Raw genomic sequence first — 14,566 nt, 5'->3', positions numbered from 1 at the left:
CATCTGTGCACATCCTTCATTAGTACCTTGGGATACATTTGTTTAAATAGCATTTTCGGGCCAAGGAGTATGCTCAGCAAGGAAAGTTCTTGATCTTGTCAGTTACGCCCCAGAATGCTTGGACCATCCATGTATGGAAATGCTCACTAAGTGTATGGTGTATGGAAACCCTCACTAAGATTATTTCTCCTTCCCCATATTGATTAAAAATGTAAAGTTGGAACTGGTGGCCACCTTGGGCAAAGCTCCTCCCTTCGTCTGTGAACCATCAGCTGACAACATTCTCAGCACTTCCTACACTCCTGGCAGCTGGGAAATAGTGATTTGAGCCCCTCAAAGTATAGAGATAAATAGATGGCTTGATAGATGATTGATAGATAGATGGATAGAAAGATAGATGGATGGATAGATAGACAGACAGACAGACAGATAGATAGATAGATGATAGATAGATAGATAGATAGATAGATAGATAGATAGATAGATAGATAGATAGACAGATTTCTTAACTGCTGGAAAAGCCTATGCAACCTTCTCTATTTTTTTAACAAATCAAACTTAATAATATAACTGGTTAACTACAGGAACTGAAGAATTAGAGTATAGCAGAGTTGCCAATAGATGCTCTCTGTCTAGACTTCTTTTAAGATACATGAGAACTTACATAAATAGCCTTAGTTCTTACTTTTCAGCTCTAAACCAATGCAGTCTGATCACACTTTTGGTTTCTCTCCTTGGATACCTATAAGATGGTCTATCGCATTCTTACAGCAAAACCCCTTACTAGCTTGAGGGTGTTTCTGGTTGGGGTAACCAGTCCCTGAGTGAAAAAGAAGAGCACATTTTTACTGCAAGGATGTACCTGCTATTATTACCATTCAAAGAGCAAGAATGATTGTTTGGAATCATGGAATGAAAAGGTTGAATAAGACCTCAGAAGTCATAACCTCGCTTGTTGGAGAAAGGTTGTATAAGTTTGTCTGATTTCTTGCACATAGCTAGAGGCAGATCTGGGCCCTCAAATTTCCTGAATTTTGATTTACCAGTCCAAAGTCCACTGACTTCTTGGTAACATAAATCTGGGCTGCTAGAGGGACTATTTATTTATCACCATAGAAAGAGCAACAGGATAACAAATTTCTGCTTCTTGTTATAGTCTGATTTATGCTAATGCTGACCATATTTCCTATTGGAAAATACTTTTGAAAAGCAGTTTACACTGAAAGATGTATTACATCATAGTGAGAGGCATACCACCCAACAGTATATCAGTAATTAACTGATATTATTAGCCATAATATCAATTAATTGTCAACTCTGTGATTTAACTGATAAGGAAGCATGCCATGTTCTCCAGATGAATGAAGTACCCAAGATAGAGCATCTACTTTAATTTAAAGTACCCCAAAGAAGACGCTGAACCCTTGGATAGCAATGGAATATCCCCCCTTATTATTCAAAGAACAGAAATAAGCAAAAACATGAAATAAAACAAAAAGACCCAAAATATCAAAGTAGCTACTCAAAATGTCAAAACTAGCATTTTGGTGTGAATCCTTCTGGGTTTTCCTCCTGTTTTGGTGTATGAACTTAATAAGGCAGCATGAAAATTGCTCCACTAAAGAATGCAACAGTAGGTTTATATTGGACAGTTGCATAGCTTGGATGTATCAGAGTTTATTTTACCAATAATTTGTGAAAATGGACTTTTGAATGTGGTTCCCAAGTCATGTCAGTGTAGGATAGGTGTTTGTGACACAAATAACTTTCCTTCATTATTGAATACTAAAGACCATAAAAAATGTTGCCATAAGAGAGTGCAAAGCATAGGCTGGGCGCAGTGGCTCACACCTGTAATCCCAGCACTTTGGGAGGCTGAGGCGGGTGGATCACAAGGTCAGATCGAGACCATCCTGGCTAACATGGTGAAACCCCGTCTCTACCAAAAATACAAAAGATTAGGCGTGGTGGCGGGCGCCTGTAGTCCCACCTACTTGGGAGGCTGAGGCAGGAGAATCTCTTGAGCCAGGGAGGTGGAGATTGCAGTGAGCCAAGATCACGCTATTGTACTCCAGCCTAGGTGACAGAGCGAGACTCAGTCTCAAAAAAAAAAAAAAAAGAGTGTAAGCCATAAAGGTTTTCTATATTTTGTCTAATGAACATGTGTTACTTTTATAACTATCAGATACTACAAAAATATTATCAGACAGGTATATATATAGAATGTAGTTTGATTTAAAGACATTTAGACATGCTAATTTGAAAACTATTCCCTTGATCATATGTGTTTTCATCTGGGTCCTCAGAGAAGCAAATGCCAAAACAGAATTAAATGTGCAAAACGCCTGTGAGAGAGAATGGGGAGGGATCTGGGTAGGGCTGGGAGAGCTGTCAGAGCACAATGGATGTCCACCCTGAGTGAAGGAGAGAGGGAAGAGAGAAGAAAGGTTGGGTAGAAGCATTCCAGACTGCTGTAAAGTCTAAGGAAAGTTTGGCAAGGTTACTTGGGAGTCTTGAGCCAGTCATCTGTCAAAGGAGTCCCTCTTCTCCCAGGGATAGCTCTAAGTATCCTGTTGTGCTCAGTCACTGACTGGGAGCAACCCATAGGTAGTGTGGTCTTGCTGCAAAGGTGACAGTGAATTTCAGGGTGCAGAGCTAGAACCCTTGTCAATATGGCCCCTGCAATTGGAGGTTGTGATTCACATTCTCATACTCATCACACTATGACAATCATAAAAATATTAAAGTTTGACCACCATACTTTTCCAGCACAAACTATAAAGTAGTGTCAAGCAACAGAATGTCTCTGTCAATTTCTGTAACTGGCAGCCATACACTATTTAATCCCTAAGCCTTCGACTTTTGTCTTCATGCTTTTTCATGTCTTTTTCTTTTCGAATTTATTAAAGAAAGAATATGTTGATCACCACTACAGAACTTACAGTATTTATTTGCTTTGCTACCTGAGAGAAATTTCTGTCTACTGGAATGTAAGAAAATATTTGTAAAGAGGTAATTAATGTCAAGAACAAAGCCATGGTGTGTAATTTTGCCTTTACAGCCTAAGTCTAATATATTTAGTTGTGATATTTGTATGAGAAAAATTTTATAACTAAAACATGCAGCTGCAGTATCTCAATGAGAACAACTTTCTAATGGCCAGTATGGCTCACTTAAATGACATATTATGAAAAGGGAAAACAATTAAATTGTTTATTAACAATTATATTCAGCTAACAGGGAGGGCATATAATCAGAGGACTATTCCTAAATCTCATAACATTATAAGAACTTGAATAATATAACAAGGTGCAAAGAACTGAAGTTAAGCAAAAAAAATGGTATTATGAATAAAATTTCGCCATGGTACCAAAATAAATCTAAAATAATGTTGTTGATTCAAACTGATGGACTTTTAAAATTCACTAACATTTTAAGAATAATTATAATCATTTAAAATATTCATTATGTCATTGAAATAGTTCAGCAGCTGAAAATTAGGCAGACAATTGCTGAGTCAACTTTCTCCCTTTTTGGAATGCATAAAATGTTTGGCTTTGGAGGTCATCCAAAGTAGCTTCCAATGGTTGAGCAGGTTCAGACACAGTTCAGATAGGCATCAGTGTCAGGAATCCCTTTCAGTGTCCAGAAGGGGCACTAAGACAGTCCAGCTAGAGGGCCACAAATAGAGGACAGCATATTTTACGAAATCTGTCCATCTTCCACAGGGCATCCAAAGAAGGTACTGGAGAGCATTAGGCTCAAATCAAGAATGCTTTGGGTGTCCTGTCATGGAACTGGGCTGGATGGACTGGGTGTAGCCATCAGAGAGACTCTGGCTTTAGGGTCAAGGTGCATGACTGAGCCAGTACTAGAGAATGGGGACTGTTCTGTCTGGGGGAATTCATGTAGACACTGACCTCATCCCAGCGAAGTCATCCTCATGTATTTGGCTGATGGGATAGAGGCAGTTTCTGCACAGGTGTCCCATTGCCTACTTACTGAGCCTGTCCCTGAATTCAGACCCACATCCCCACCCTCCTGGGTATCTCATCAGCTGACAGTTCTCAGCCTCAAGCTCCAACTTTTCCTGCTGATTTTTCAGGCCTTACTTGTCTCAGCCACAGTGGTCCAGGCCATGCTTTTACTACCTAAAGTCCAGCCGAAATTCAAGACCAGCCCATTTAGCAGAAGCCCTGGTGACTTTCTAGCCTTTTAAAATCTTTCTCCCCCAGAGGCAAGAAGATATTTCCAAGTACTGCTAACCCCAGTCCTTACATGCCTACCTCTTGCTGCTGTGTTCCACCCACTAAATACAATCCCCTCGAGACCAAGACGAACTCAACTTAAAGCTTAATTGGATAGATCTCTTTAGACATTGATTATTAGATTTCTAGCTACTTCAATTAGAAAGAAATGGCCTTTCTCTATGTCTTGTGTATGAAATCTTTGCACAACTTTAGTCACATATACACACAACTGAGTGTAGCTTGCCATCTGCTGGTGAAATACGATATCACTTTTAAGAGAGTTTTTTTTTTTTTTTCTTGTTCCCCCCTCCCCAATGCATTCGAAGGTCTGGATCATTCTTGAGGCAATAGCAGTGTGCCACTCAGCACAATCATATTATGAATATCCAGATACTATCAGGCCATGGAAAGCATCAGATAATACTATTCAACCTGCGGGAGCAGGGAAGGTGAAAGAAGCGAGGAAAGTGAAGGTATTGACTGTACTTATTTCTCTGCACAATCTAAAGGAAGCCGATAATCGATTTACCTTATTTTTTACTGCATTCTGGAGAAAGATTGAGAAATATCCTTACTGATAACTCCTATGTACATAATTAGATTTTGTATAATTTAACACTGTTCACAGGCATGCTTCTCAAACATTATGTTGGAATATGAAAGTATTGCAGTGAGTAATCTGTTACTAATGTGGAAGGATCAAAGCTTGTGAGCGTCTTACTTTTATTAATATTAGAGTTAAGAAATTAAATTGAAAAGTTAATCATTCAGCAACCTTATTCTCAATCATGTGCAATCTAATATTTCTCCTGAGTGAAAAAGAGGGTGTCACGGCTAACATGCTGGGAACCACACATTACTCTGGCTATGGGCTTAAGGGCATACCACTGCAGAAAATGTCATTCAGGGTACATCATGAGAGAGGAAAAGAAACAAAAACAAAATCGGCTTATTACCTTCTTGCATTATCTTACCATGAGGGAGTTAGGTACACTGCGTGGACTGTTGGACAGTACTATAGTTTGCAAACTATATAAATCTACATGTCATCCTTTTCCTCATTTTCTGCAAGAAAATTTAGAGTCAAAACTTTGACCAATTTTCAATATACATTAGGCAGTATGCATTTGTATTTAACTCCACTCCTGGCTTTATTTGATCTCTCCTACTCTCTTCTTCCCCACATTCCGTGTTCCTCCCTCAATTATCTTGTTGTAGATTGTGTGCATTTATATACCTTAAATCTTTTCCGGAAGATCAGTTAAAAATAAACATTAAGATTTGTTTGGGGAATACATTTTTATTGTTATTATGCATAGCCATTCATTTTTGTATCTTGAGTTTTCCTCCAAAGCATGTTTTTCTTATTATTCCTCCCAGGAAGCTGTGCCAAATGGTTGTATATTGACGTGAACATATGTATTATCTTCTCAAAGTTCTAGGAAAAGAAAGAATGCACTTAATAAAATAAATGACAGTGCTATACACTAATCTTTCAGCATTTATCAGTTTCCATATTGAAGTTTTGCACACAAATCACAGAGCTGGGAGATGGGCCTTAACCTTTACCTATAGACAGCCTGACTGAGCAAGTAAGCAGTCATCAAACATTTACAGAGCAATGAGTTAATGAACAAACATTTGTGACAGGGTTAAAAATATTAACTTGTGAGTAAGATTTCTACCCAACCCGTTCAAGGATTCAGAATTGCTGGTTAAACCAAAGGTTAGGAAGACAATAGGAAGAGGGTGAGAAAAATACCAGGACAGATTGTGCAGCTCCTTCTGAACACGATGGACAGGCTGGAGTGTAAAGGCGAGGGTTGTGGGGTGGCCTGGGGGAGCAGCTGGGGGTTCAGCAGGACTCTCAGGTCAGAGATGCCCAAGAAAGAGTTTAGGGAGTTTGTTGGTATTGTTACATTTTGTTTGAAACAAAATTTCCTTTATTTACTAACTGTTTAAGAACTTTATTAAAGGCCTACTTTTTTCTTCAACTTTATTTTAAGTTCAGGAGTATGTGTACAGGATGTGCAGGTTTGTTTCATAGGTAAATGTGTGCCATGGTAGTTTGCTGCACAGATCATCCCATCACCTAGGTATTAAGACCAGCATCCATTAGCTATTCTTCCTGATGCTCTCCCTCCCCCAGCCCCCACCGACAGGCTCTAGTGTGTGTTGTTCCCCCCATGTGTCCATGTGTTCTCATCATTCAGCTCCCACTTATAAGTGAGAACATGCGGTGTTTGGTTTTCTGTTCCTTCATTAGTTTGCTGAGGATAGTGGCTTCCAACTCTATGTCCCTGCAAAGGACACGATCTCATTCCCTTTTATGGCTGCATAGTATTCCATGCCATATATGTACCACATTTTCTTTATCCAGTCTATCATTGATGGGCATTTAGACTGATTCCATATCTTTGCTATTGTAAATAGTTCTGCCATGAATATATCCGTGCATGTATCTTTATAGAAGGATTTATATTCCTTTGGGTATATATCCAGTAATGGGATTTCTGGGTCAAATGGTATTTCTGGTTCCAGGTCTTCGAGGAATCAGCACACTGTCCTCCACAATGGTTGAACTAATTTACACTCCCAACATAAAGGCTTACTTTTAATTAAGGGTTTCTGTGTTAGGATTACATGAATTTTCTTTTAAAAATGTAACACTAACTTAATTTTGTATCATTTTGGAATGGGTTTTGAAGAGTTCTCTTGCAAGAGCTTTTTGTGCTTGTCTGAGAAATCATTCTTCCTTATTTCACTATTTTTGTTACTATTTTTTTTATCCTGGCAATATGTCAGGGGTTGTGTGTATTAAATTTGCCATTGCAACCATTTGAGTATACAAATCAATGTTATTAATGACATTTGCATGGTTTGCAATTATCACCACAAACAATTTCCAAAATATTTTGTCAACTTAAAGGAAAACTCTGCACCCATTAAGGAATAACTTACAATTTCACCCTTCCTTCAGCCCCAAGCTATAATTTACTTTTTCTCTCTATAATTGCTTGTTCTAGGTAACTCATATAAGTGGTAACATACAATATGTGTTCTTCTGTGTCTAACATTTCATTTAGCAAAATTTTTTTGAGATTCATCCATGTTGCAGTATGCATCAATACTTTATTCCTTTGAATGGCTAAATAATATTCCGTTGTATCTTTATACCACACTTTATTCATTGTTTTGTTAATGGACACTTGGGTAGTTTCTTCCTTTTGGCTATTGTGAATCATTTTTCTATAAACATTACTGTACAAGTATATGTTTGAGTCCCTGTTTTCAGTTCTTTTGGGAATACACCTAGGAATAGAACTGATGGGTTAAATAATGATTCTATGTTTAACCTTTTAAGAAACTGCCAAATGATTATCCAGAAGATGCACCATTTTATATTCCCACCAGCCCAAGGTGACTGTGGGTTTTTCAATCACTGTACACTGTACAATCATTGTACACTGTACACTGAAACTTTGGCCATTCAGGCAATTACTAAAATGTCAGGAATAATAGATGCTGGTGAGGCTGTGGAGAAATAGTAACACTTTTACACTGTTGGTAGGAATGTAAATTAGTTCAATCATTGTGGAAGACAGTATGGTGATTCCTCAAGGATCTAGAACCAGAGATACCATTTGATCCAGTAATTTCATTACTAGGTTTATACCCAAAGGAATATAAATCATTCTACTATAAAGACACATGCACACATATGTTTATTGCAGCAATATTTACAATAGCAAAGACATGGCACCAACCCAAATGCCCATCAGCGATAGACTGGATAAAGAAAATGTGGTACATGGAATACTACGCAGCCATCAAAAGGATCATGTCCTTTGCAGGGACATAGATGAAACTGGAAGTCACCATCTTCAGCAAACTAACACCAGAACAGAAAACCAAACATTACATGTTCTCACTCATAAGTGGGAGTCGAACATTGAGAACACATGGACACAGAGAAGGGAACAACATACATCAGGGCCTGTTGGGGGGTGGGGGGTGAGGGGAAGGATCCTAAAGGACAGGTCAATAGGTGCAGTAAACCACCATGGCACACATATACCTATGCAACAAACCTGCACGTTCTGCGCATGCATCCTATTTTTTGTTTTGGTTTGGTTTGTTTTGTTTTGTTTTTGTTTAGAACAAATAAAGATAAAAAGAAAGAAACTTTGGCCATTCAAAGCAGAGAAGTGGAAAGGAGCTGAGTAGAGGGACTGCATGAGGCTTTTTATATCATGGTAGAAGACACCACAGCTCAAGACCAAGCTGTGTGAACCAATGGGTGCGTTGCTTGCCCTGTTGTCTCCATCCCTCCAGCCTGGATGCAGCATCCCCAGCCTGGTTACAAGCAACCAGAATCCCCACGGTCATCAGCATCTACAAGGTTCAGCTTTGAGGCTGTGTGGCTACTATGCAATAGAACAGTGTGTCTCACAGGAAATAAAGCTTGATTCAGGAATTTAGGAAAAGTTCTTCTCTTTTTAGGACAGGTTTGTCCTAGCCTCAGTCACTGCAACAAGCAAATAAAATAAAATAATAATTAAACAGGTACGTACTTCACAGTATATACTTTAGTTTTCCTCAGGATCCTCAAAGAGTCTATTAACAACCTCTTTTGCTTCATAGGCGTTAGATGCTCCATGGACAATGTTTTTCAATTTACTTATTCCAAACTGGGCTCGGATGGAGTCAGGGGAAAGTAATTTTGCTTCTTCTGGGTCTGTTGGGCCCATCAATCGTCTCCATTCTGCAACAGCATTCCACTTGGTCAGAATCATGACCATAGATGGACCCCTGCAAAGAACGGTGCTTTCAGAAGACCCAGCCTACTGAAAACTGTTGACACTGCAAACAAGGCTAAAGACAGAACACTGCAGCCTGAGCCAGGGAGCTCCTTTTTATTCTTTGTCCTTATCAGTGCAATCATGTACTTTCTTTTTTTCATTTCTCCCTCTTCTAATAGGTTTATATGCTAGGTGGGTGCTATAATTTAATTCTAGAGAATATTTGTCAATGAAGTCTTATTATTTTGCTACTTTGAGGTCTGTAAATAGAGACATTGTCATGGATTCAAGACTTGTTGCTTTATGGTTGTCCAGCAGCCTCTAACCGCTTCAGGGATTGCCTCAAGTTAAGATAGCCTTGCTCAGGCCATCCTCATTGCCAGGATGGCCTACTTCAAGTAACTGAGTGATGTGAGCATACAACAGCCTGGTCATCTCAGCCAATACTGGACAACTCTGATAGACCAATCTAGCTGTGGTTAGCAGAGGCTGTTGTCTGGTCTGCACTACATCTTGACTTGCCGTCATCCCCATCCTGCTTCTTTGCCCTGTCTTCCTCATGGCATCATTACTCAATAGCCTGAACAAGAAACTTCCAGCTTCCCAGAAAATGCAACCTGCAATAAGTATGAAAGTTAGTTTTCTAAGCTGTCATGGTACAGTCCTAGGCTTCTGCTTATTATTTATATCTCAATAGCACATATATTCCATTAAATTTTGTTAACTTTATAAATTCTGCCTTCCTAAACTCATTGACAAATTGTCAGGAACTGAAAAAAGAGAAGACATGCAATTAAAGAGGTTTCTTATACGTATTTTATACACACGTGTGTGTGTGTGCATGTGTGTGTGTATGTACAGTCATGTACCTCTTAATAATGCAGATACTTTCTGAGAAATGTGACATTAGGTTATTTCATTGTAGTGCAAACATCCTAGAATATACTTACAGAAACCTAGATAGAATAGCCTCTTACACACCTAGGCTATCTGGTTCAGCCTATGGCTCCTGGGCTATAAACCTGTATAGCATGTTACTATACTGAATACTGTAGACAACTGTAATACAGTGTTATTTGTGTATCTAAACATATATGAACACAAATGGTAATGCATTGCATTACAATGATCACGATGTCACTAAGGCAATAGGAATTTTTCAGCTCCATGATAATCTTATGGGACTACTGCTGTACATGTGATTCATTATTGACTGAAATATTGTACTGCAAAGCATGACTGTATAGAAAATTTTTGATGTGTAATATATATAAAATAGAAAAGACATGTAACTCATAGTAAATCGATAATGATGTTCACATAATTATGAACTCTGTGTAAAAGAGAGTTTTGGAAAGCAGCAGTTAAAAGCAGAGACTCCCTGGGTTCAGGACCCAGCGAAACACTAGTTTTGTGACTGCGGACAACTTCTAGCCCTGGTCCTATGTTCTCTCAAAATCAAAGTGGAAATTCTAGTAAAACTACTTCACAGAGTTATTATTATAAGAGTCAAATGAAATAAAGTGTGTACAGCTCATCACAAGGCCTGGAATTAAGGAAACAATAAATGTTAGCCTGTAATTTCTATGTGGTGGTTATAAAAGTATGTGTTGTCAGGAACAGATGCATCATGTAGAAAGAAGTTTTAAAAGAGTGTATTTCTTATCGTAATATTTATGTTATTATGTATACATAGTTTGACAAGGTATCAACACATGTAAAAAAAGATGTGAATAATCATAGCTAACATTTATCAAGTGTTTAATATCTGTCATGCACTGTTCTAGGTACTTTCAACACATCAATTATGTAGCCCTGCCAACAAGCCTATTAGATAGATACTATTATTATTCCCATTCAACAGATAAGGAAACTCAGGCAACAATTAAGTATGTTGGCGAAGCAGCGGTTTGAACTGAGGCAGCCTCTATATCTAATGTGAAGACCTAGAGAAACAGGAAGGAAGGAAGGAAAGGAAAGGAAAAGAAAGGAAAGGAAAGGGAAGGGAAGGGAAGGAAAGGGAGAAAGGAAAGTAGGAAGGAAGAAAGAATGAAAGAAAGGGAGCGAGGAGAGACAGAATGAGAGAGAGAAAAGAAGATAGGGAGGGAGGTAAGGAAATAGAAAAAAGATGAACCATGAATGTTAGCAGAATGTCTTTTCATGAATGAGATTAGATGAAATGTTTTAATTAATTTTTGCATTTTTCAAAGTTTCTATAATGAACATTTACCACTTTTATAATGCAAACAATTATGTATCAGAAACTTACACAGATAACATTTCCAATAAATCTTTATAAAAGTCTTTTCCTGTTACTTTTGGATAAATTTTCTCTATTTGCTCAGGAGTTAGGAACATTTTCTTCACCTGTGTCAGATCAAATCCAGCCTCCTTAACTATCTTCAGGATCTGCTCTAAGAAAAACAAATATTTGATAATATTGCAGATTGCTTCACTTTTCCTCCATACTCAAGTAGACTGAAATAACTAAGGAAAATGATAGTTTAATTTGCATATTGTGGTTTAACATGGCAAAACTCTGCCAAACGAAATTAAAATTCCAAAGCACCAAATTGACATTCAGAACTTCAGTATGTTAATGTAGATTTTCAGTCTCTGAGGCTCACCTTTCCAGAAACCACCTGAAACACCTAGTAGGCCACAAGAGTAGAAGGGGAAGGGACCTGCTCTCATGCTAAGAATAAAGATCTATTTTCACCTTCATACTACAAATGCCAAGGAATTTCTTGCTAGATATGGATTGAAGGATAAAGCCAATCTGAACTCTTCTCCCTGAAGAATCAGAGTACCATCGAGGGAATTAAACAAAGCAAATGTTGTCAAAATCTCACCAACAGCCTAAGTTTTGAGGGCTACATTCTAGAGACAAAGGTGAACCAACTGAGAAACTGGGAGCTTTCTGGTAAAACGGCCTCTTCTTTGCTCCAGATCAAAAGCACATAGAGTGGTCTGGGAGCTAAAGGCAATATGATTATAACCAACAGACAGCCTGGAGAAGGCTGGACCTCTCCTGCTGGAAGGGAGGTGGCCAGGATCTGCCCTAAGACAGGCACTGCAGAAATGAAAGGGAAGAAAACATAAACCTTTCCTCAGAGACTGTCTCAACAGAGAGCAAGGCCTATAAAGATATCATGAGAAAGTGATCATTATTATAGAGTAATATATAAGGTCCCCAGAACCACAGGTGAGAAAACAATTAACTTTCTCTGGAGAGGTCAGGGATGACTTCACAGAGACACTGACCTTTGTGTTAAGCATGGTAAAAATAAGGTGTGATCACCAAGTGGACAAGTAGGGAAAGGACATTGCAGGCAGAGTGAGTAATGTATGCCAAGTGCAGAGGGCAGGAAGAAGTGACTGGGTGAAAATATACTGGAGATGAAGTTGGCCAAGTAAGTAGAAGAAGGATTATCAAGAGCTATGCCCTGTGAAGAAATCTGGACTTTCCTCTAAAAACAACAAGGAACATTTAAAGCATTCTAAGCAAGAACATATTCAGATCTGTGCTCTAAAACGATAATTTCCTTTGCACCATGAAGAATGAATTAGGGTAGGAGTGGGTGATTGTGGCACTGCAAGCAAGGTATTTGAAGACTAATGCAGTTTTTGGAAAATCAATACTTCCTGGTAAAACGAGCCACCTTGGAAAAGAAAAGTCTCTTACAGTTCTTAGATAAAGACAGCAAGTGGCTCAGGTTAACGTTCAAGACAAACAGAGAGTACTGTAGGTAGTGAGACAGATTCACCCCCTGCAAAGGCCCTACCTATTAAGAAACTACCTAATTATATTAATACAAAACCAAGAGAAAATCTGAGCTGAGAAATGAAATGAGCTAACCCAAACCCTTATTAATCTTTACTGAGCCATTATAAAAATAAAATTAAAATTACTATGCTAATTAAAAAATTTATTCCCCTGTTAAAGAAATAAATAAAAGAAAGAGAAAGAGGAAGGGAGGTAGGAAGAAAGCAAGCCAGCAGAAGGATGACAAATACCCCCCCAAACTGTAACACGACACCCTAATGTGAATTAAGCAGTTTGAACATTAAAAAAATCATAAATCATAAATCAGAACTTCAAACTCAAAACCAGAAATGGCCAAGCAATAAGTAGATGTGAAATAAAAGCTGCACTCACGAAAGACAAAGATAAAATAACAGAAATAAACTAGGTGTCTAATGTAACTTAAAATACAGAGAAGGACATAGAGAACAGAAGTAAAAATAGCCAAGTAAAGGAAAGCAAAATAAAGAAAGAGAAGTCAATAGGGAAAGTGATAGATACAGAAGTTAGGCAAAGATAAGCATGTCTACACGTGTGTGTATGTAGGTGTGTGTGTGTACATATCTGTGTATATAATTAAATAATATATATTACTATATGTATTTAAGAAATTTGACTTCATCATACCAAAAGAGAATATTTTTAACTAAAAATTGAGTAAGTCAATCTAAATACTCAGAAACTTCAAAAGAATCCCCTGTTAGTTCCAGCTGGTGAAATCCCTAAGAAAAAAAAAAGAACAATGGAACAGAACTAATATTTAAAACTATAAGGCAGGAAAACCATCTTGAAATAAGAGAAGATAAGAATCTAGACAGTGAAAAAGAATAACATGTATCTAGAAAAAGAAATCAAGAGTGGTCAAATCTCAGACATATGTTAGTAAAACTACTAGACTTGAGAAACAAACAAAAATTAACACTTTCTTCTGGCAAAACACCATATTACTTACAATGAAACAAAAGTAAATATGGCACCAGGTTTCTTGAAAGAAATGCAGGAAACAAGAATAGAGATACTCTGTCAAGAAACTCCAAGAAAAAAAATGTGAGCCTAGGATTATTTCTATCCAGCATATATGTAAATAATATATTTTCTGACAAAGTACATTTAACATTTAACACAAGTTCAAAAAATAGGAGAATAGCTCAAGAAATAAGAAAGTAGATTAAGTACCTAACTGTCACAAAGGTAATAGGATATCATTTAAAGCAGAGAAAACAAATAATAGGCACTCAGTCAAGAAGAGTGAACTTTCAAGCCTATCCATCCCAACTTTTTTTGTTGTTGTGTTTTGTTTTAGGCTTTTAGCAGCCCAAAACCATGGTTTTTAGTTTCTGTCTCTAGTGATAAGCAGAAAAGAAGGATGAGGAAGGGGCTTTACTGGCCCAATCAGAAACAGAAACTAAGAACCCATGACTATATTCTTTCCCTTGGACAACTCTGATAGATATTGCAATAAAAATGGCTTACAGAACAAATAAATTTCTCAAACACAAAAGAAAATGTAAAAGACCACACAGAGAAGAACAACAGTAAATGAAAAATAACATGTAAAGTAAATATAACTTAAAATAATAAGATGTTTTAAACTAAACATATTATTAACATAAAATAAACATATTATGTGAGTTTATCTCATCTACTAAATTTTTTTCCTGTAAGACCTGAAACAACAAAACTACTAGAAGAAAATATAGGTGAAATGC

The 14,566-nt window shown here is 37.6% G+C and overlaps 1 protein-coding gene across 1 annotated transcript in view; it reads right to left on the bottom strand.

Annotated features, from left to right (window-relative positions):
* The window catches only part of NME8 (NME/NM23 family member 8), a 51,801-nt gene continuing 42,769 nt past the window's right edge, over positions 5,535-14,566 (bottom strand). Inside the window, exons 16-18 of the mRNA NM_016616.5 lie at positions 11,322-11,466; positions 8,825-9,062; positions 5,535-5,688 (exon numbers count right to left, since the gene is read on the bottom strand). Coding sequence (NP_057700.3) covers positions 8,840-9,062; positions 11,322-11,466 — 368 coding nt within the window. The 3' untranslated portion in view covers positions 5,535-5,688; positions 8,825-8,839. The remainder of the gene's footprint in view (positions 5,689-8,824; positions 9,063-11,321; positions 11,467-14,566) is intronic.

The sequence above is a fragment of the Homo sapiens genome, chromosome 7 (genome assembly GCF_000001405.40).
Source record: "Homo sapiens chromosome 7, GRCh38.p14 Primary Assembly".
In the NCBI taxonomy this organism is placed as follows: domain Eukaryota; kingdom Metazoa; phylum Chordata; class Mammalia; order Primates; family Hominidae; genus Homo; species Homo sapiens.
The sequence above is the reverse complement of the archived record's forward strand: the minus strand, read 5'-3'. Positions and strand labels throughout refer to the sequence as shown.